This window comes from Homo sapiens, chromosome 2, assembly GCF_000001405.40.
Source record: "Homo sapiens chromosome 2, GRCh38.p14 Primary Assembly".
Classification (NCBI taxonomy): Eukaryota; Metazoa; Chordata; class Mammalia; order Primates; family Hominidae; genus Homo; species Homo sapiens.
In genome coordinates this window covers 42,322,359-42,345,530 of record NC_000002.12, presented here as the reverse complement: position 1 = coordinate 42,345,530, position 23,172 = coordinate 42,322,359, and the positions used below count along the sequence as shown (strand labels likewise).

At 43.5% G+C, this 23,172-nt stretch overlaps 2 protein-coding genes across 9 annotated transcripts in view, besides 3 other annotated features; one reads left to right on the top strand and one right to left on the bottom strand.

The window, feature by feature from the left end:
• COX7A2L (cytochrome c oxidase subunit 7A2 like) overlaps positions 1 to 9,972 on the top strand; it is a 33,399-nt gene extending 23,427 nt beyond the window's left edge. Inside the window, exon 3 of the mRNA NM_001319038.2 lies at positions 9,786 to 9,972. Coding sequence (NP_001305967.1) covers positions 9,786 to 9,794 — 9 coding nt within the window. The 3' untranslated portion in view covers positions 9,795 to 9,972. The remainder of the gene's footprint in view (positions 1 to 9,785) is intronic.
• Positions 3,697 to 4,604: an enhancer, noted in NCBI's record as "H3K27ac-H3K4me1 hESC enhancer chr2:42568067-42568974 (GRCh37/hg19 assembly coordinates)". NCBI's record gives its function as "activates a minimal SCP1, AML or CMV promoter by ChIP-STARR-seq in naive H9 embryonic stem cells {active_cell/tissue: H9 hESC(naive)}" and the evidence as "EXISTENCE:reporter gene assay evidence [ECO:0000049][PMID:30033119]".
• Positions 4,605 to 5,513: an enhancer, noted in NCBI's record as "H3K27ac-H3K4me1 hESC enhancer chr2:42567158-42568066 (GRCh37/hg19 assembly coordinates)". NCBI's record gives its function as "activates a minimal SCP1, AML or CMV promoter by ChIP-STARR-seq in primed H9 embryonic stem cells {active_cell/tissue: H9 hESC(primed)}" and the evidence as "EXISTENCE:reporter gene assay evidence [ECO:0000049][PMID:30033119]".
• Positions 4,748 to 5,042: a silencer, noted in NCBI's record as "tiled region #3908; K562 Repressive non-DNase unmatched - State 17:Gen3'". NCBI's record gives its function as "represses a minimal TATA promoter and a strong SV40 promoter by Sharpr-MPRA in K562 cells {active_cell/tissue: K562}" and the evidence as "EXISTENCE:reporter gene assay evidence [ECO:0000049][PMID:27701403]".
• Positions 9,973 to 12,982: 3,010 nt separating the features above from the next.
• Positions 12,983 to 23,172, bottom strand: part of EML4 (EMAP like 4) — a 163,196-nt gene continuing 153,006 nt past the window's right edge. For 7 of the 8 annotated variants that reach the window (XM_047443953.1, XM_006711992.3, NM_001410776.1 and 4 more), the window contains 4 exons: positions 19,977 to 20,064; positions 19,279 to 19,377; positions 16,515 to 16,645; positions 12,983 to 15,797 (listed from right to left, as the gene is read on the bottom strand). In XM_047443953.1, the coding sequence (XP_047299909.1) occupies positions 15,324 to 15,797; positions 16,515 to 16,645; positions 19,279 to 19,377; positions 19,977 to 20,064 (792 nt within the window). In that variant the 3' untranslated portion in view covers positions 12,983 to 15,323. The other variant, XM_005264268.4, reaches the window with a different exon arrangement.

The following is a 23,172-nucleotide window of genomic DNA, read 5'->3' as shown; positions in this document are numbered from 1 at the left end:
AAATATTGGTAACATTGAGGAAGTGTGTGTCTCTAATGACTGACAGTTTTTTTTTTTGCAATTTAGAGGTTTTTAACAAAATTGAAGGAGGAGCCAGCTAAGTTGTCACTTGATCATTAAAAATAATTTTGTTTTTGTTTTTGTTTTGAGACAGAGCTTTGCTTTTGTCACCCAGGCTGGAGTGCAATGGTACATTCTCGGCTCACTGCAACCTCCGCCTCCCGGGTTCAAGTGATTATCCTGCCTCAGCCTCCTGAGTAGCTGGGATTACAGGTGTGTGCCACCAGACCTGGCTAATTTTTGTATTTTTAGTAGAGACAGGGTTTCTCCATGTTGGTCAGGCTGGTCTCGAACTCCTGACCTCAGGTGATCTGCCCGCCTCAGCCTCCCAAAGTGCTGGGATTACAGGTGTGAGCCACCATACCTGGCCTAAAAATAATTTTGATAATAGATCACACATGACTTATAACTCAGGAGTTCAAAGAATTGTGATTTTGCTATCACGAAACTTCATTCCCTTCTGTTTATGAAAACAAGGTTTTTCAGTGCTTATATCTGTAAAAATAAAAATGGGAATGGAATTGATGCTGAAATTACCTTATTTTAACAGTAAGCAAGATTTATCCATGGAAACCGGAACCAGCTCCCTCCCTCTAATTGCGATGCCTTTTTTTTTTTTTGAGGCGGAGTCTTGCTTTGTCACCCAGGCTGGAGTACAGTGGCGCAATCTCAGCTCACTGCAAGCTCCGCCTCCTGGGTTCACGCCATTCTCCTGCCTCAGGCTCCTGAGTAGCTAGGACTACAGGCGCTTGCCACAACGTGGGCTAATTTTTCGTATTTTTAGTAGAGATGGGGTTTCATTGCCTTAGCCAGGATGGTCTCCATCTCCTGACCTCGGGATCTGCCCACCTCAGCCTCCCAAACTGCTGGGACTACAGGCGTGAGCCACCGCGCCGGGCCTGCGACGCATTCTAAGACAGATTTTCTCATACTTTGTTTTGGTCAAATATGTACTAATAGTAATTGTAATAATTCAATCTAGAACAAAAGTATTTCTAACACTTAGAGTTTATGGTCACAGGAAATTTAAACAAATTTCAATTTTAGAGTGTTACAGAGAATTATGTATGAGCAAAAGGAGACTTTCATTCCTAAAGTTGTAGTAGGGTAAATGTTTTGGGACAGAGTTGTAGGTATGGGAGTGGAATGGAAAAACACGTGTAAGCAGAGGTTTCTGACTGTTGTATAGATGTGTATTTTTAACCAGATGAAGGTGGGTGTCCAACTGCAGTGGAGGTTACATTCCGTTGGATACATTTAGAACTGATTTAATAATTTAGCTAATATTTATAACAATAGAAACTATACTTTTTGCAACTATTTAAATTTAAAATGAAGAATTTTACGTATTAAGCTTAGATATGCATAGATGTAAATTTTTTTTTAGGGTACACAAGGGTAAGAAAGGTTGAAAATGGCTACTTTACACTTGTCCTTGTAAAGCAGTGCCCACTTATCCCTGGCTTTGCTCTTTCTGTCAGCCAGATTCCCTTTCAGGGTCTGACTAGCTTTCGCTCTCCTTCTCGGCCCCTTCATCCAGTGTGACTTTGCTGTGAAGCTGTTGGGTAAGGTGAAGGTTGGTGTGGCTTTGATAACACTGGCCAGCTTTCGTTTATTTATCTGCTTTTTTCTTCTCTTCATGTGTGTGGCTTTGGGCAGGCTCCCCTGGCTTGTCTGACATTGAGGTCTGTTCATCCCCACGTCTTCCTTCTGATTTTCCTCATGGTCAAAAGCTTGGTAAACCTCTCACTTTCTGTCCCATTCATCTTCAATAGCTAGAGGTTATACCTGGGGCTATAAAAATTGGTTGCTGAGAAATTCTGATACTGCCTGGTCCCAGTGATTTAATACATATATTTGACGTTTTGCCTCCACACCTCCTAGGCTGGGTCACTATTTAGTACCACAGACTGCCCATGTCGGGTTGGCTGAGAAATGGGGCCCTGTCCCTAGAGCTCCTCTTGTCGGGATCATTGGCCGGTATCTTTGGCTCCTCAGGGACTCCCTAACCCACAGTCTTCAAGGAGTTGCATTAATTCTCTGTTATTCTAGACATTTAATTAGTGCGCAGAAGCACACACTATTAGGTGCTGGAGCCTCAGAGATGAACCATGCTTAGGGTCATTTTCAGGGTGTCTCTCCACCTCTTAGGGTTGATAGACCACATGGCTAGCAAACGGCCTTGTTATTGAGGAATTCTGCAGTTATCCTTCACCTGTTCTGATCTGGGAGCTCTCTGTGACTGGCGGGGTTTGGTGACTTTAGAGGAGGCTGCCCGGGTGGGTGTGGTGGAGGGAAATCTGGCTGTGGCTGCTGTTCTGGGAACCCATGTCATGCCTTGGTGGTAGCAGGTCAGGCCTGGTAGCCTGGAGGGCGGCAGCAGCTGACTCTTGCTCTCATGACGTGAACGAGAGCAGTGAGGGTGGCTCAGCACCTCCTGAGGTAGGAGGGGAGTGGGACGATCACTTGCAGTCTCCTCTGCCATCAGCCACTGTCACTTGCATAAGCTGGAATCAGGCCTCCTGACCTCTGTGGCTCCACGGTGCCCGGGTGCGGCACTGCTGCAGGATGTGTTGGGATGGGCAGGTGGGGGGCCCAGATGCTGCTTGCCCAGGGTCCCAAGACTGCTGGAGCTGACTTCCCAGGGGAAGTCTGCTGCAAAACCCGAAACGGGGGGCGCTGAATGGCCAGGAAGAGCATTCTTTAGGTCATATTTTTTTCCTTGAGTTCTGACACAGCCCTCCTGGGACATCCTGCCTTCTCTTGTTCTGACCTCGTCTATGACATAGATTAGTCATGGTCACATGGCTGTGCCTCAGGGCCAAAGCACAGGTCTCTACACTGCCTAATGTGTATTAGCCAGATTGGAATCTTTGCTGACTCCAAATATCACATTCCAAGCTGCCCCAGGCTGTGAGAAATGGTGGCGTTGCCTCCCCTTTGGCAGAGAAGGTTTTAGGAAGAAGCCTTGGAAGGGCTGTAAAGTAAAGCAGATGGAGTTAGGGACCTGGGTTTTCCAAGGCAGGGAAGGAGAGGCTGAGTCTGTGTGGGCCGTACCTGGTGCCTGCCTGAAGGGCCAAGGAATAAGTGGGTGCAGAAATTGGGGTGGTTTCTGAGGGCATCTTGCCAAGCAGAGAGCTCAAGTCCCTCGTCTCAGCTCTCCTAGGGAGAGGGAGAGAGCAGGGAAGGGCAGCTAGGCTAGGGTGGAAGAGGCAGGCTCTGCTGGTCCAGGGCCCCCTTCAGGGTTCCAGCTGTACCAGGCTTAGGCTTCAGTTGTGAGTGTGGAGCCCTGAGCTCAAGCATGGAGGCAGCGTGGTTGCTCAGCTCAGCCTCTCATAGGAAGACCTGGCACCAGTTCCGGAAGTGCCTCGCCACTAGAGAGGGTGGGGAAGGTCAGATGCTCTAGAATCAGTTCATACCTGGGAGGGCTTTAACCCCATCTTCCCCTCCCACCTGCCCCCTGCTTAGGCCACAAAGCCTCCATGTTATGTGGCAGATTAATTTGAAAATTGAGTTGCAGCTGAATGAGTTGATGTCTTCAAAGTTCAGTGGTGTTTGATTAGAGCCGTCCAGAGACTAGACTTGCTCCCAGGAAATGATTCTGACTGAATAATTAAAGTGAATAAAGGTTAGATTTGTGTTTCAGGCCAAATCTGTGTTGCATTCAGCATCTCCAAAACATGAATTCCATTAATCTTTCATGAACTAGCATTAAATTACTTTCAATTAGTTGTCATTCTAATTAAAGTTGAGTTACACAGAGCAGCCTTTGTTTATACTTGGTAGCTGTTCCCTTGCCTCCTCTGGAACTAAGTACTCTTGAGCAAATTGTCATTTGGAAAGTTGGTTTTATAACTTTGTGTCCCCCCACCCATCACTCTGAGTCAGGACCTGTTCTTTGAGCTGAAGGATGTGGGCGCCCACGGCAGCAGGAGGGCTGGGGGAGCACTGCTGGCTAGATTGAACCACATGACTTGCAAAAAGCAATCCCATGGCTGTGGGAAAGGAAGTTAAGGAGTGTTTAAGGTAGGCCGCCCAGCCCAGGCAAGCTTGGGCAGGCCTTGGGGTACCAAGTGAGGCATGGTCTGCCCAGGTGGGACTTGGGCAGGTCGGGAGGGAAGTGTGCTGCCCCCTGCGACGCCATGACCTGGCTTATTCTGAGCCTTTATGCCTTAGGTGTGGGTGGCCTTGCTCCTGCCAAGGGGTAGATGTGAGTTCTCATCAGGGCCTGTCTGCAGCCTCAGTCTCCTGAGGGCCAGCATTCCACGCTCCTGTCTAGTGGCCACAGCAGGAGGGGTTGAGGGAGGACTGAAATAAACCACTGTGTCCCCCTGTGGGACTCACCCATAAGTTGTCATCCAGCATATTTTTTCTGTTTGTTTTCTCCATTGATTATGGATGTGACACGTTATAACCAAGACAGAATCTCTAAGCCAGCGTGGGGATTCTGCAGGCTGGGGCACTTGAGGCCCTTCAAACCCAGGATGCCAGAGGTGAGCTCGCTTTCTTTGGCTCCAGGTCTGAACAGAGGTTAGAGGTGCCGACCATTTGCCCCACCTTTGCCATCAGTAGCTCTTGAAGCACAAATCATTCCTTCTGCAGTGTGCTGCGCAGTGGAGACATGGAGAAAGGCGACACTGCTCCTGGCCTCCCGTGCTTGCAGAATGATGAGCACAGTCAGAGTGCAGTGGAGCGGCCCAGTGCAGGGCCAGGCCCCGGGAAGGTGAGAGGAGGAATGGCAGGGAAGCTCCCACTGGGGCGCTGTTGAACTTGCACCTCACGTGAGTAGGTGATTTCCACTAGAGGACATGGGGAAGGCATGCACTGAGGTGTGAGGGCATCTCGGGTGCGCCTGGGGGGTCGGGGAGAAGAGAGGAAAGGCAGGATCCAGGATGAGAGGAAGAGGCTCAGGCGTTACGGAGCACATTCCTGGGGCCAGGCCCGAGAGCTGGACTCTGGCTGGTGAGCAGGGTGTGTGTCGGGACTAACCACCTGATCCAGCAAGGATGTTTTTGTTTTGGTTTGCTTCTTTTGAACCCACAGTGGCAGTGTGGAGGACAGAATGGAGAGGAAAAAGACTTACAACAATTGATAATTAAGAGTTGTTATGAGAGCTGATGGGGGCCTGGGAGTGACAGCCGAGGGCACGAGAGAAAAGAATGGATCCCAGGGGCGCGAGGAAGGCAGAGTGAACTCAGTGTGACAACTGCCCGTCCCTGGAGAGGGGAGGTTGTCTCTGGGGTACCCCCAGGATGGTGCAGCTTGGCTTCTGGGTGAGTGGGGAGTGGAGTACAGAACCTGGGGGTAAACAAGGCAGGGCGTGTTTCTTTGGAGAATGTGGGTTGCCTATGGGTCTTCTAGGTGAGGAATCCCATAAGCATTCGGTCTGAGGAGAAGGCGAGGGATCTGGACTGGAGTTAAAACTCGAGACCGAATATACAGGTGGCTGCAGAAACCAGGGGTGTCTGCGACATTGTTCAGAGGGTCGTGTGGGAGTGAGGAAATAGAATGGGGGATAACCAAGACTGAACAAGGTGGGTGGAGAGGAAGAGAGCAGCGAGGTTCACGGGTTGTGTGAACAGAGGAAGGTGGACACGACAGAGAGCACACTTGGGGTTCCATTCATGTAAAAGCTAAAACCAAACCAAAGTCTTCAGTGGCGACAGGAGGGCAGAGTCGAGGCTGCCCTGTGGGAGTCCCTGACAGGAGCGGGTCACAGGCCGACTTCTGAGTGCTGGCAGCATCCCAGGTCTTCCTCCAGGGGTGGCTGTGTGGGTGTATATGTGTGCACAATGCGCTGAGATTCTGCACTTTATTGGAAGTAATAAATTTAAAAAGTGTTAAAAATAAGAAAGGAGGAAAGCAAGGCAGGAGGGAGGGATAAAGGGAGGGAGGAAGGGCAGAAGGGAAGAAAGAAACCAGGAGGAATGGTGGCAGGAGAGGAGGGGGTTTCAAGGAGGTTGTCGGCCAGTGTCGCTCACATGCCTGGAGCTCAAGCCACCGCGCCAGCTCTGTAGAGGCAGGAGTAACGCCTGTGGCCTTGGAGGCTGCCCCGCAGTCCTCTTGGTTCACCACTAGTGTGTGTCTCTCATGCTTCGAGTGAGTGGTGTGGAACGGAGCCTAGCGTTGAATCAGGACATGGAGGAGCAAGAGCCGCTGGGGGGATCCTGTGCCCGAGAAACCCCTCAGCTCCTGGTGGTGCCAACGGCCGCGTCTGTGGTTTCCTGAGTGCCCTCCCTGGCAAATCCTTGTGTTTAAACTTGATAATGGTTAATAAAAAAAGTAATTAACTACTAAAATTTGATTAAAAAAACTTCCTTCTATTTTATTGTGAGAGTTTCCCATAGAAACCACTTCAGCTTTGGCATGGTGAACGGCAGCTTTATTAACGGAGCCATCTGCAGGGTTTCCTCACAATCTGTTGCGTTGCCCATGGCTTCCAGTGCAAACACGGGTGACTGTGATGCAGGCTCCAGCCAGTGATCAGAGGGGACAGCCTTCCTGGCGCTCTGATGCAGGGACAGCTAATCTCTCGTTCTCTTATGTGCTGAGCTCGCCAGGATGTCTCTCCCCTTTGGATTGGATGTGGGCAAGGCCTTCATCTTCTCTTTTTCCTTTCTAGACATGGGAGATGGTACCTCTGCCGCACAGATAACACCTAAACCCACCTCCACTCACTGGAAAATGCTTTCATGGGAAGCAGTAATTCTCCCTGTGAGTGAAAACTGTTTCCTGAGGCCTTTTCCACCGTAGCCAGTGGTTAGAGTCCTGCTGTCAGATTCCTCACTGGCCCCTCGACAGGCTGACCGCCAGGTGGGGATGGAGTTGAATCACACTAAGGCTCTACGGTCTTGGTGGGGGCTGAGTCCTATCGGGGGGATTCTTGGTTCATAATTAATCATCTTCTCCATGGAAATGTCCAAGCCTGGCAAACGTTTCTGCTAATGATTCTGGTGAGGAGATGTTCACGGGCAGCACATGGCAGGCCACATCAACACAGATCTTGCCAGCATAGCTGGGGCCTGTCGCTCTCGGAGAAAGCCTGGTCACCTCATCTCAGTTCTGCGGCAGTCTTGGGAGGGCTCTGCTAGAGAGTGAAATTCTGCTCTTCCTTTCCATTTGATTAATTCTGAATAAGGGAAGCTGATTCAGCCCAGACACGCAAGGAAAGGCAGAGGCTGGATGGCTTCAGGAGAGGGCATCCGAGGAGGAGTACCAACGACACATCAACCGGAAGCAAGACGAGGAGCGGCTCCCTGGCCGCTGCGGCTGGGGGAGAAACACGGAACGGCTGTCTCTGCCTTGCATGTGGGCCAGGAGCATGGGGAGTAGGGTTATGGACCAACCAACCGTCATCGGAGGGGCGGACCAGAAGATGAATTCTTAGTGCTCCCGGGTCGTCTCTTGTCCCTATGGTCCCAGATGCTGAGCTTCACAGTCATACCCCAGACTGACACCCTCCCTCGCCTAGGCTTCCCTCATGGCCACGCCATGCTAGGGGTTCTCCCACAGGGACCCATGGTAGCAGAGCGGGCGCTAGAAAGCCAGTGGGCACCGCTTGGTCCCACGGTCCGCACTGCCTCCTCTGACTGGTCAGTGGAGCACTGCAGGTGCACACGTGCAGGGAGAGTTTCAAAAGGCTTCGTGGTAGTAAGGCTCATTTTCTTCTCCATATTCCCTTCAAAAGCATAAAAAGAAGGTAAAGTTTCTATGTCAGTATGTACATATTTTATTTTGAGACTCTGAGGAAGTTGCAAAAATAAGAGTCCCATGAACCCTTCCCTCTGCTTCCCCCAGTGGTGAGATCTTACGTTAACTATATGAGACCAGGAAAGTAACATTGGAAGGACACAGTAATCCAGACCACAGGCTTCCTTGGTTTTCAGCAGTTCAGCGTGCACTCTATGGAATTTGACCCCACGTGTAGATTCATGGTGGCCGCCATCCTACTCATCGTCACTGCAGAGGAATCCCCTTGTGCCACCCCTTTGTAGTTGCCTCCCCTCCCTTCCATTCCTGTCCCCTGAAGTCACTAGTCTTTTCTCTGTCTCTGTAGTTTTGTCATTTCAAGAATGGTGTATCAATGGGATGCAGTTTGTAGAGTTTTGAGATGGGCTGCTTTTCACTGTTGCTCATGCCCGTGAGCACCATCACATGTGCATGTGTTCACAGCCCTTTTTCTTGCTAAGTATTATTCCACTGTGTGGGTTGCACATCACCTTGGTTTTTCTGTGAAGATTCCAGAAGTAGCAACATCACTTTTTAAATATTGAGATTCAGCCTTTTGGAGGTTGATTCTAGAATTTAAGCAATGGGTGGATGGTTTCAGTGCATGAGTAATCCAAGATTCCTTAGGAATAATTTACTTTGTACATTTACTTTGTACATCCATTATACATTATAGCATCTAGTTACAATTTTCTAATTTTGAGGGAACCTGACTTTGCTCTAATCCAATTCTAAAATATACAAAGTTTGTTTTTACAACCTTTCTAGAGTGTATGCTCCGTGAGGGCAGGGGCTAATCTTTCTCATTTTGGGATTCCTTGCTGAGCCCCACACAGTTCCTTGCACTAGGCAGGTTCTTAATATATATCTGATGAATGGGTGCCTCCTTTGGATCCTGAGTCCCACATAAACTCCCCAGGATTCACACTGGCTGCCACTTTGAAGGTGGTGGCAACACAATGCATGTTTCTTGTAGAGAGACTGAAGTCCGTAGAAGAGGAGCTGCTGTAAGGCATCTGGCTTGCATTTGTCAATTGAAACAGAGCTCTACGGTGACGGCTCCAGCTTCTGGTTTCCCTGCTTCTAACCAGGTTATCAAATCATTCCAACCCAGTGCCAGCCAAACGGGCATCACTGTTGACAGTGGCAGGCTCCGGAGTCTCCTGTGACCTTTCCTAGGAGGCACAAGGGCTTGGTTACTGTGATCAGTCAAGCATGAGATGGGATGACCAGGCTGAAGGCTTTGCATATTAAGAAATTCCTTTTCCTCCCTGAGGCCCTTTCTTCGGGCACTCACTTTCTTCTCAGTGCCTTCAATGAGATCTGGTGAAAGGACACCCTGTCAGGAGTTGATGTCGGCCTCTGGAATCGATTTTGTTGAATCCCACTGAGATACTTAGTAATCATCAGCAGTGGTCCATATTCATCTGTCTGTCAAATGGATGGCTCCTCAGGAAAATCTATTTTCAGGACTACAGGATTATATTGCTAACAGGGAGAAGGGACGGAAGATCAAAATTCTATGGCTGAGCATGGAGTTGGCCCAACCTCCCAACACTGGCCACAGGAAGTGAGGGATGGGGAATGAGGACCAAGTGGAAAAAGCACGTGGCCAATGACAGAGAGAAGCTGCCACGCTGAGCTCAGTGAAATGGAAATTGCCCAAAGCCTGGATAATAAGGGAGTGGTGTCTTCACACCAATAGGTTTAAATTGAACATTAGGGACTGAGGACTTCTGTGCCCATGGTCAGAGAAGGCAGGAAGAACAGGCATTTGCTGGCAGCAGGTGCCACAGTGAACCAGCCTAGCGGTTCCTCTGCCCCATGCTGTGGTTGTAGGGATAGTAGGGAAGGATTTGTGCATAATCCCCCCTTCACCTCTTGACACGATTCAAAGTCCAAAGCCTCATCATCACCTTCTCTTCTGCCAGTCTTAAGTTCTTCTACTGGAAGTTTAACCGATTTCATTCTTATTAACAACCATTGTTATTTTACAGTGCATATAACCTACAGCAAGCGAGCATGGCAGCTGGCTGCACGGACTCCGGAGGCGGGAGTACCTGGCTTCAACTCGTAACTCAGCCAGTCGGCTTCTGTGTACCTCAAGTTTCTTCATCTGTGAAATGGAGATAATCGAATTTAGTATTTTGAAAAGATTGAGTTAATACATGTTAAACACATGAAGTGTTAACTGTTTTCATTGAGTAGCATCTAGTCATGGGGCTGGGCCATATTTTAATCATTGAACACCTCGGTTTTATTTCAGCCTATTTTTTCATGTTTTTGTCCTTTGAGACATAGAAGTGGTGCCCTTTAGGTTTTCTACCAGATTTCTGAATTGTTATTTATTTTCAAGTTAAGGATGCTTTTTAAAAAACTGCATTCTATTATCACATTTTAAATTTTTCTTATTTTTTTTTTTGAGACACAGTCTTGCTATGTTGCCCAGGCTGAGGTGCAGTGGCGTGATCTCGGCTCACTGCAACCTCCGCCTCCCAGGTTCAAGTGATTCTCATGCCTCAGCCTCCCAAGTAGCTGGGACTATAGGTGTGCGCCACGAGATCTAGCTAATTTTTGTATTTTTAGTAGAGACAAGGTTTCACCATTTTGGCCAGCCTGGTCTAGAACTCCCGATGTGAAGTGATCTGCCTGCCTCGGCCTCCCAAAGTGCTGGAATTACAGGCATGAGCCACGGCACCTGGCCTATTGTCACACTTAAAATAATTGCTTATGAAATATCCACTGTTCACAATTCCCCAATTGTCTCAATGTTTTCTACCATTTGTTTGAATCAGAATCCAACAAGGCTCATGGTGGATGTTTAAATACTGATGCTTTGTGATACACAGGGGAGAGGATGTGGGAACAATTGTTTGGCCTTTAAGAGCATACATCAGGCCTGTAATTCACCACTTTGGGAGGCCGAGGCAGGCGGATCACCTGAGGTTGGGAGTTCAAGACTAGCTTGGCCAATAAAGTGAAACCCTGTCTCTACTAAAAATACAAAAAATATTATCTGGGCACGGTGGTGCATGCCTGTAATCCCAGCTAGCTACTTGGGAGGCTGAGGCAGGAGAATTGCTTGAACCCAGGAGGTGGAGGTTGCAGTGAGCTAAGATCACGCCATTGCACTCCAGCCTGGGTGACAGAGCGAGACTCTGTCTCTAAATTTAAATAAATATAAAAATAAATAAAAGCATACATCAGCATCTAGTAATGAATGTGGTCCTGTTTGGATTGGCAGATTCTTTAAAAGTGGTCAGTTCAGTAAGCCATGGTCTCTTGACATCACCCATGAAGAGATAGTGGATAAAGAAATGAAACAGTCTGACGTTCCCAGGAGACAAACTTTTCTATTTGTTCTTCTTCCTTTTCCTTTGTCTAGGAAATGTTTATTTTTGAGATAGGGTCTCCTCTGTTGCCCAGGCTGGAGTGCAGTGGTGCAATCTCAGCTCACTGCAATCTCACCTGGGTTCAAGCGATTCTCCCACCTCAGCCTTCCTAGTAGCTGGGACTACAGGTGCGCGCCACCACACCTGGATTTTTTTTTTTCTGTATTTTTGGTAGAGATGGGGTTTCACCATGTTGCCCAGGCTGGTCTTGAACTCCTGGGCTCCAGTGATCACCTGCCTCAGCCTCCCAAAGTGCTGGGATTACAGGTGTCAGCTACCGTGCCCAGCGGAAATGTCTTCTTTACATCAAAGCTTTTAAGGCTACTATCAGGATCTATTAATGAAGGGAAGGTAGAGCAGAAATTCAAGTTTCTTTTGGAAAAGGTGAACCAATCAGCACAAAATGACTAACATTACATGAGTCCCTGTGAGGAGAGCAGGAGCTGCCCCTTCACAAGGAGATGCACCTGTTTATTTTTAGGAAACATACCTACAGACCATTCTGTTTCTGTGGCTGCTGGAGACTCCAGTCGTGGGCATCTTGGACAAAGGGACTTTTCCAGCAGGGCTTCAGTGATGGTGATACAGATGTGCGGCACTGCTGTGTCGTGGACTCACCTCGTCCCAGACTGAGGACCAAGACTGACACAGACTCTCTTCTGTTTCCCTTATCTCCTTTCCAAAGTAAGTCTGTGAATCTACCCTGGTCCTTTCCTTCTATGTCTAATGAATGTCTTTCTCCTAGTGTAGTGGAGGAAGTACAAATTTTGAAGTTCTAGAACATAAAGTCTCAGCATGGCCATGATCTAAATGAACATAGGCTGGTTACTAAATCTCCCAAACTCATTTCTTCATCTACAGTCACCTCCCTGTATCCCTGAACACCTGGGTATTGGGAGATGTTGGGCCCACAGTAGGTACTCCTCCAGGGGCAGCTCTTCTTGGTCCATATCCTGCCCATCTGCTCTTCAGCCTTCGTGGTCCTAAAAACATGTACTTATCCTTTATTTCCAGCTTTAAGCTGGAAAACTAGTTCCTTCTAGAAGTTACACTAATACAACACCTCAATGTGCCCAAAATCTAATTCATCATTTCGCCATAGAAGTAGTTTTGGATTTTCTTACTTGTGAAGAAAAATCACATTGTTGAGTGGGTTTGTTTTGGTGCCCACTAGCCATTCTGTCTCAGAATCAGTGAAAATGGAACTCCTACCCCAGGATAGCCTCTCATGGATTAGTATATGTAAGTAAGTGGCTGTGAATATTCAGTCACCAGGGACGAGTAAGGCAATAATGAAAACCCCATCATTTCTATGATTGTAAACCTGGGGAATGTTTGGAATACTATCAATCAACCTATTCTTTATAAAGAAACATTTGTAGTAGCCAATTTGTGATTGTGGTATACAGAAGATCTGCGTTAAAAAGCAACATGGGAGAGATGGGAGAAAGCAGAGAATGCCATGGCCTACTGAGTTCAAGTACTTCACAAAGGCTAACACTGCGAGGCAGCCTAGTCGGATGGGTAACGAAGATTATCAGGATTATCCAATATTAAACATTAGAGAAAGTGCTGACATGAAATAAGTGAAAACAAAGCTATCCACATATTCAGGGGGAGCATAAATCAGAAGTAATTTCCTCTAACATTATGAGATGGGAGTTTGTTACTACCAGAATGATTTTATCCACAGCAGCAGCAGTAGCCCACTGATAAATGTTGTCTTCTGAATTGTCATGCCTTCTGATAACTGGATAGTCATGGAAACTCTCAGTATAAATGAAGAAAGAGTTAAGACGCACTTAGAAAGAGGAAACATTTTGATTATTTTATTTTTTAATCTTCAAAATTTTCTGCCATGAGACAGGAATGCATGATAGCAATGGCTCAACATCTTCACATGAAACACTTGGATTCATTTTCATTCACAAGTTTTTCTAAAAACATCTACAATTTCATAACCCCACCCACTTCCAACCATTATCACAGATTTAACTGACCATTAAACAGTAGTTGCCAGCATTAAATAGCTGGAACGCTTCCTGCGTATTAGTAGTGTCTTTTGAAACTACCACCGAAGAGTATCATGATTATAAATCTCATTGTACATGGCAACCCCAAAGGTGACTGATGTCCTCAAATAAACTCCCTGCTGATCACTGAGAGCTGTATTCCCCAGGTACTTAAAGAAATGCTCTTTCTTCTCCAAGAACTGCCTGTTCATGTCAGTATATTTCTTGCAGGGAGTATAGCACATGCTGATCTGATGATGTAATAATCATTGCTAACAGACAGATATATATGCCTGATACTTACTGGCGCGCTCCGATAAGTATGTACAGAACATACATACTGAAGAAAGATGGGTTGCTTGGAATCTCTCTTCTTTTGAAGAGAACTATTTTGAGGTTTTTTAACAGTTGTAAACAAAAGGAAAGATATACAGATACCTATACACATAGAGATCTACACTGAGTATTTTCAACGTGGTGCATATCTTCTTATCTAGAGATACACACAGTGTCTCCACTCGCCCCTTCACACACACCCACACCCTTCCATACAGCGTGTGAATATAAATGTTGTAAATGTCCTTGGGAGTTCACTGGAGTTTTCATATTACCAAATGATGATGAAATACCTGATTTGTATTACTCCTGAGAAGATATTAGAAGGGAATGACAGTTCTGATGCACTTTGGAATGGCACAATCACGTAAACGCCTGCATACTTAAGACTTCTTAACTCATCCAAAGTTTCTAAACATGATTTGACCAAAAAAATAGAAAGTATCAAAACAATGCAGCAAGTTAAAAAATCAAAACAAAATACTTTTTTATAATCAAAGTATAAACATATAGGAAATACATATTTGTCAGTAATTACTCTTAAAGTAGGAAATGTACTGAAAACCATAGCTAGCCAACAGAACTTAAAAAAAATACCTTTCCAATGCATAATACATGCATTGCCCAAAAGAGTAGGATAGCCACATTAGACTTACAAGACTTACAGCAACTCCACCAGAAAAAAACTGCTACACAGCAAGTCTGTTAAGTATGCTGTTGGTAAAAAAAACTGCTGTGACTGTTACCCACACTTCTGTAAAAAAAAGAATTTGCAATTTGATGAGTATCTTATCCCTCATATAATCTGTATAAAATTACAACAAAACCAATAAATTTCAAGCACCAATTCAATAATCTAAACTTACTGTATTTATATTTCTCCTATTACTGAGGGAACAAATTATGATGAAGGCTTAGCTGAAATTAGCCAGGTAATTATTACAGTTTAGTTTTAAAGGCATGTGGTTTTCCTTCCATTCACTTGAATCTCAAACATTTGAGAATGTTTAGGCTAGTAAAGGACTCCTTGGAGGAATCCATCATTTCTGAGTATTGAAGGTTTTAATATACATTGAAAGCTCTTTAACAAACCAATGCTCTCTTAGTTCTAGGATAAAACAGAGTTGCACACAAGAAATTAAGGGACTGTTCCTCATTATGACTTAGAAAAGGCAGCACCTCTCTAGTAGACTAAGAGCATGTCTGGACATCCACTGGTAGTGTAAGAAAACGGCATTTTTTAAAGAAGGCAACACCATTGCACTTGGCAAAACTGAAGTTTTTCTTAATTAAAAATTTTCCATTACACATTTGGGGTGAGAGGGTATCTCAGTAAGAGTACATTTTTTTCTGGTTTCTTTTTCAGGAAAAAAAAAAAAAAAAGTAGTACAGTCTGAGCCAGTAGATGAGTAACAGTGTTTGTGATACCTCTGGTTGTTCCTGAAGAAAACATGTTCAGATAACAAGGGGGTTTGTTTTCAAAATCAATGCAACTGCTGTTTTTGTTTCCAGTATTTACATCACACCACTTAGGTACACAGTAATTTGTGAGACATCATTAATGATTCAGTCTTCTCCTAGTATTAAGTTTGGTTAATTTTCAATAAACACCAAACTAAAACTTTAAGTTGGCTGTATTTGAGAGACTGAAAATAAGACTATTGAAGAAAACAAATCACATGGAAACCAAAATCTCAATCAACAGTGATTCTCCATCACTGCCCATCCTGTTACCTGAACTTTATCACAAAATCACATGCAGCTGAAGGAAAAGAGTTGCACTGAAGCCAGGGTGTTAGGACGAGGGCGAAGGGTCTTGCTGGTCCTCCAGAAGGGTGGCTTTGGCCTGCTCCTTGCTTATCTCGTTGCATGGCTCTTCATAAAGAGGCTCACCAAGGTCTCCGCTGCCCTCTTCACTCTCCTCCTCGCTGTGGTCTTCACTTGGCTCCACAGTTTGTTCCAGGCTGTTCTCCAGAAGTGTGGGAGAACTGCTTATTCTACTTTCCTCTTCAGCTGTCTCATTTAAGGGCTGAGAAGGAGGCGGTGTGGGAGTATTAGATTGGATGACACTTTCAGTGGAAGAGACGGGGGCTTTGGTTAGAGTAGTATCCGCTACAGTCTCATTCTGAGGCAAAGATAACTTTTCCACAAGTTTCCACTGAATGATGCTCATGTCTTTTCCACCAGTTGATATCAGGTGACTGTCATTGTGAGTAAAACTGACATTGGTGACATGGCTGCTGTGGGCACTGTACTTGTGACTGGGAGCCTATATGAAATAAATCAGACAGACAGGAAAATTAAACTCATTCTTGACATGCCTGTTTCAGAAATGGAGGTGATACGTAAGGGGGGTAAACTCAGCTTGTGAAATGGGCAATCCAATTTAAAGCCAGAAGTCATCAAATCTCAGGAGTAAGGCTAGCCGTTATTTCCTTTTATTATCACTTTACATAGGAAAAACGAAACAGAAGAATTGGACATCTCTGTATTTTCACACTATATGTTTAAAAAAATAGCTAAAAGTCTGTCTCTTCTAGATGTTGGTCGTATACTTGCCAGAGCTTAGTAATTATTCTTCTGAAATGGTTAGGGGAACATTTACTATGTTGGTAGGATTACAGGACATTCGGGAAACAGTTCCATTAGTTTTATAACGTTGAATATGTATCCAACAAATAAAATATTTTAAAATATTTAGGAGAGATTTTAAATTGCCAACAAATCAAAATAAAAAGCAACCGGACAATAAAGAAACAGGAATAACATCATCGGTCGTCATTTCTACAGCTCACTTCTCCTTAGCCTTAGGAAGGGGGAGAAGACAAGCACTGCCTGGATGGATGCTCACCGATGGCCCTTATCTCCCTCTGTGCACTGGAGTATCATGGAGAGGAATCAGTAACCTATATTTTCTTGCTATGGATGCAAAATCATCCCTGGACAGAAGGCCTTATAACATTAGTTTCTATTAAAGTGAGTTTACCTTTGCTTTGGAGCAGGGATACTGAAACAGATGGACTTTACAAAAGTCATCGGCAACAGCTATCACCTTTCTATTGTGGGATCGCACCAGTGCATTGATATCTGTCCCATCAGATCCTTCTGGCCAGACACCTTTGATATGGAAACACAGGGATGCAGAAAAATTAGCTGAAGAAATATAACTGTGATGCTATATATGTTTATTTTATTTTAGAATCTGTTTAGCTTTTATCTATGTTCAAACTCTTAGCTGTTAACATTTCCTTTACAAATTTCTCAGTGGCTCACACTGTTCTTCATTCAAATCAAGTCCTGTCCAAAATCTAACTAATAAAAAACCAAAATAGCCCCAAAATGGAAAACTTAAAGACTCAATGGTACTCAATGGTAACCAGCAGGTGGTGCTAATAATTTATTTTACTTTCAGCTTGACTTACACCTCAGCAATAAGCTCTTCCTTTTTAAAGTTTCTGGATGGAGGGAATCAGTTACTTGTATAGACAAGGTTCAAAAACAAAGCCATAACACCAAGTCTTCGAAGTGGAGTCTAGGTTTTCTTTCAGGCAAGCACCTCCAAGAAAACCTCAGAGAGATTATTTCTTTTAGAAAGCATAGGCCATCCACTAGTTTAGCATGCTATCCCATGTAATTTTCCTGGAAAGATTATGTCCCAAGATAAGACACGTCAAATTTAATTATTCTGAATCATTATGCAGCACTAATGATCATGTCGAACATAATTTTCACAAACCTCTATTAGGCTAGATTGAAACTATGGAAGATTTAAGGGTTGAGATGTTGGCCACTTGTGGTTGAATGCTACTCTAGAGAACAAATATGTTTTTGGTAAATTTGCTAAAAACAAGTCAAAATACTTTAAAATTGGTCTCTCTTAATAATTTAAATAAATAATGTCTTCATTAAAATAACCACAGAAGCTACCAGCTATGGGTCACTGCTTCATTTTCACGTAGAATAATGAAATTGTTTATGGACAGAATTATTTTGTTTTTAATTCCTTCCTGGCCTATTAGGCTTCTCTGTCTTGATAGCACTTGTGTTTAGAACAACCACCTATAATGGATTATTTTCCTAATGCACATAGCATAAAGAAATGTTCAGATCTATGATCAGGCTGGAGAACCCAATTTTCAGAAGGCAGAGATAAATTGTTAAAGAGAAAATATTAATTTTTGTGTATTGCTTTAGGTATTGGTGCCACATCCATATCCAGTATTTTAATTACCTGAGCATAACACTTCTTTTTAATTCTTTGCAAATAACGCTTTATTATTTTAACTTTTCCATCTATCTTCTAACCCTTTCAGAAGGATACCTAAATACTGAGGAAGGCTTAGAAAACAGTCATAGAGGTCGGATTTCCAGAAAGTTACAAAACGTCAGATTAGGAAGAAGCCCCACATAGTTATCTTTATATAATTCTCCTAAAAATGCCTTTGTATTTCAACAAGTGGTGTAAGGCAACTAGACATCCACACGCAAAATAATAATAAAATACACTGACAAGGACATGGAGGAACCAGAACCCTCGTACACTGCTGGTGGAAATGTAAATGTAGTCACTGTGGAAAACAGTCTGGCAGTTGCTCAAAAGAGTAAACATACAGTTACCATTTGACTCAGCAATTCTACTCCTAGGTAAATACCCAAGAGAAATGAAAACATGTCTACACAAAAACCTGCACATGACTGTTCACAGCAGTGGTATTCATAATAGCTGAAAAGTAGAAACAGCCCAAGTGTCCATCAGCTGATGAATGAATTAACAAAATGTCATCTATCCATACAATGGGATATTACTCAGCCATAAAAAGAGTAAAGTACTGATGTATGCTACAACGTGGATAAACCTTGAAAACGTTATGCTAAATCACAGAAGCTAGTCTCAGTGGATCAAATATTGTATGATTCCCCTTATATAAACTATACAGAAAAGGCAAATCAATAACAGATTAGTGGTTGCTGGGGGGTGGGGTAGAGGATAAGAGAGATGGGGTAACTGTTAATGGGTACAGAGTTTCTTTGTGGGGTAATGAAAATGTTCTAAAATTAGACCTTGATGGTCACACAACTAAGTATACAAAAACCACTGAATTTTACACTTTATTTATTTATGAGCTGGAGTCTCACTCTGTCACCCAGGCTGGAGTGCAGTGGCACAATCTCAGCTCACTGCAGCCTCTGCCTCCCAGGTTCAAGCAGTTCTCCTGCCTCAGCCTCCCACGTAACTGGGATTACAGGTGCACGTCACCACGCCCAGCTAATTTTTGTATTTTTAGCAGAGACAGGGTTTCACCATGTTGGCCAGGCTGGTCTCGAACTCCTGAACTCAGGTGATTTGCCCACCTCGGCCTCCCAAAGTGCTAGAATTACAGGTGTGAGCCACTGCGCCCAGCCTGAATTTTACACTTTAGGTGAATTGTATGGCATGTATCTCAAGCTATTTAAAAATGCCTTTCCAAATTTAATAACTTCAATTTTCACTTAAAGAAAAACGGGAAGGTAATCTGTACTACTATGTAAATTCCTTGTCTTTCATATTAAGGACCAAAAGTGCTTGATTCTGCAAAATACAAATCCCATGTTGGTTCAATCCTAATACATTTAATTTCTCTGAGGCTGACATTAATAGTGATAAAGCTAAAGAATACACAGACTATTTTTCATTTATAAATTTAAGCAAGTAAATATTATATATAAAAAACCCACAAACCACTTCTTTACATCAGGTGTCATTTCCTTACCAAATACTTGAAATCCTAGCACACAGGTATATGTCGTCCAATCAATGTCCTTACAATCCGATCGATTCCTGATTAGTTTGCAGCCATTTGGAATGTCCCCTTTAAATTTAGAAACAGGAAGTATAATCATAGTGCTTGTGTACAAATGTATTTGAAAGTGCATCTTGATTCAAACTAGCCACGTTTACTTGTATTTATAATCCATACACTGAAAAACATTAAGACACATTTAAAAAGGAAAAGAAAGTGTTCACTTTAACAGGGTTTATAAAACTACAAACTGTTTCCCATGGAAGTTTTTTTTTTCCTCTAAAAAGCATAAATGCCCATCTATCATATTCCTCCCTGCCTCCAGGAGAAGTAATTAAATGAAAAACCATTCAGAGCAGCATCAATTTGACAGAGTAATTTCTTATTACTATATGTGCCTTCTGTTCTACACTATTAACATTAATTCATTACTCTTGGAGAAGTGAATCACATTTGAGATTCTCATTACCTTAGCTCAGCATAACATATGCTTTGTCAGGTTAAAGAGGTTGGCAAGCATTCTCTGCACAATTCAGATTCCATGCAGCCTGTTCATTAGCGCCCCTGACAGACACATCTTAGCATATATATATATATATATATATATATATATATATATAAATATAATCATAGCATATATATATATATATAAAATCATTCATACTTACAGTACAATATTTCATAGTCTCCCGAGTTAGACATTATATACTTGTTGTCTGGGGACCAGTCAAGGTGTGTGATGTAGCTGGAATGTCCCTAGAAAATAACAGATAAATTGTTAGAAAGCATTTAGAGTTCTGAATGATAAACAGTTCAACAGCTAGCCAATACTGTTTCTGAATACACATTTGTTGGAATTTCTAAAGGAGAGGAAGCAGTGTCACACCCTCTAAAACTGAGCAGGCTCACAGCAAATCCTCAGCACTTGAAACCTGGGAGAAACTTTCTGGCCTATCTAGATACCAGAAACTAGCACCTACTACCTGTATTAGACACTTCCAAGAAAGACAGTCTCTTAAACTTGTATCTTACAGGACATTGCAACACATACCACACCCTCTGGCCTTATTTCACGTCACTGGTGTCCCCATGAGAGTGACTCCATTTTTGAGAATGAAGTGTTGGTTATAAGTTGTGCATAAGGCATCAGGAATACAGTTTTCCTGGGCTACTTCTGAATTATCCATGGTACAACTCAGAAGCTGAGGAATACAGCACCCGTATATGGTCTATGGAGGTATCCTAGAAAGACTATCTCTAAAGAATGTTTTGGGGAAAATTCACCCAACGCTGTACTCCATCAGAACAGTAGGTCTCAATAAAATCATGATTCCTTAAAACATTCCTTAAGCAGGAAACAACGATCTTTTTCTGCTTAGGTTTTCACACTGTGGGAATTAAAACAAAAAAACTACGAAACACTAATTTTTGTTGGCTTCACGTATAAGCACTTAAGCATTTCCAATAAACTATTTCAGATAAATTACACAGATCTTATGGTTCACCAAAGCTGACAGAGACTTGAATTTGCTTTTACCTCCTACAGTCTGTGGTCAAACACATTTAATTTCTACTGTGCTTTTTCAATTACTAACTTTTTTTTTGAGACAGGGTCTCACTCTGTTGCCAAGGCTGGAGTACAATGGTGCTATCATGGCTCACTGCAGCCTTGACCCCACTGGGCTCAGGTGATCCTTCCACTTCTCAGCCTCCTGGATAGCTGGGACTACAGGCACATGCCATCACTCCCAGCTAATTTTTGTATTTTCTGCAGAGACAAGGTTTCACCACATCGCCGAGGCTGGTCTTGAACTCCCAGGCTCAAGCGATCCTCCAGCCTCAGCCTCCCAAAGTGCTGGGACTACTGGCATGAGCCACTGTATCCGGTCAATTACTAGCTTTCTGGTCACATGATTTTATTCTTTTTATTTTGAGACAGAGTCTCTGTTGCCCAGTCTGGAGTGCAGTGGCACAATCTCAGCTCACTGCAATCTCCACCTCTCAGGTTCAAATGATTCTCATGCCTCAGCCTCCTGAGTAGCTGGGAATACAGGTGTGCACCACCATCCCAGCTAATTTTTTCTATTTTTAGTACAGACGGGGTTTCCCTGTGTTGGCCAGGCTGGTCTCGAACTCCTGGCCTCAAGTGATATGCCCACCTCAGCCTCCCAAAGTGCTGGGATTACAGGTGTGAGCCACTGCACCTGGCCTTTATTTTTTTTCACCTATTCTTTTCTTCCTCTAAGACTTTTTCTTTTTCTTTTCTTTTTTTTTTAATTGAGACAGAGTCTCACTCGTTCACCCAGGCTGGAGTGCAGTGGCATAATCTTGGCTCACTGCAACCTCCGCCTCCTGGGTTCAAGTGATCCTCCCACCTCAGCCTCCCAAGTAGCTGGGACTACAGGTGCGCATCACCACGCCCCGCTAATTTTTGTTTGTTTTTTTTTTTTTGGTAGAGACGGGGTTTCACCACATTAGCCAGGCTGGTCTCGAATTCCTGACCTGAAGTTATCCACTTGCCCCAGCCTCCCAAAGTGCTGGGATTATAGTGAGCCACTGCACCTGACCAGGATTTTATTTTGTAAGTTAACAAATTCAGTGTACCTTAGGGATAGTTTTTAATGATTTACATTAGAACAATGACTCTAATTCTTTTAGTACCCTTCTGAAGTCTACCGATGTGTCCCCAAACCTTTCTGGAGCCATAATCTCCACCATAGTGCTGTATGGGAAATAAACATATTTAAACCAATTTAAATTATATGAATCTGAGAAGTGAAGCTTTCTGAAATCACTAGAATTAAGCGGTATATTGGAAAACACGTTGGGAATCACTTGCTAGGCATACAGGGGACCTACTAACTTAAGAAATCAATTTTCAGAGACAGCAAGATGCACATGGATGTTGGCTATTTTCTGAGTATGGCAGGGTTCATACATCCTTTTCATAGTGCACATGAGCCTGGCTCTGGCGTCTGGGGAAGCCATGCTTCTGAAATTAAAACTTGCTACGTGGATGAAGATTTAACAAGATTGGTCATGGCAAAGTACAGGCCTCTGAGAATTTCACCCTAATGGAATAGTATTTAAAAATACTATCTGCATCTTTGTGCAAAGCTTTGTGCAAAGCTTTCAATAGTTCAATTAGAAGAGCATCAAAAGCATTGTATATATACATAATATTCATGCAAAAACATCTATGTTGGACACAGATTATTTTCAGAAGGTAAATCAACATAAAGTATTCTCAAAAAGGACTCTTGAGTAGGAGAAGTCCCCAAATTTAGAAAAGATCTTAGGAAAGTTATTAACTCATATTTAGAAATGAAAGTATTTTCTGCCTGGCATCAATTCCAATAAATAAGCAAAGAAAAGATGAAATGCAGCTGTTGGGGTCTATGTTACCCTCCCCACAAATCACCTCAGTGTCCTTCCTCTACCCAAGTCACAGGCTAATGCAAAGTGTATGCACAGCTTAGAAAAAAGCCTCAAACTTTACTCCATGGGCACAAACACAGGAGCAAATTCTAGTATATCTCCTTGAAGACAAACAAAAAAGTATTCTAAGCTGGCCCTTTCATTATTGTCATTAAATAGCCATATGGCGTTACCACAAAAATAATCCCAAGTGACAAAGTGAAAGAATATGGCTATGAAGAAAAAATTCAGAAATATTTGAGTTAAATCTTTGTCAACTGCATGATGATTATCACCTGAATCAGTGGTTTGCAACTGGTTTAAAATTACCTGGGGAGTTAAAAAACAACCAAGCAACCAAGCAACCAAGGTCTCAATTTAGGACCTAACTTTTGTCCATTTAGAGCTATGCTGTTCAGTGGAACTTTCTGCAGTGATAAAAAATAT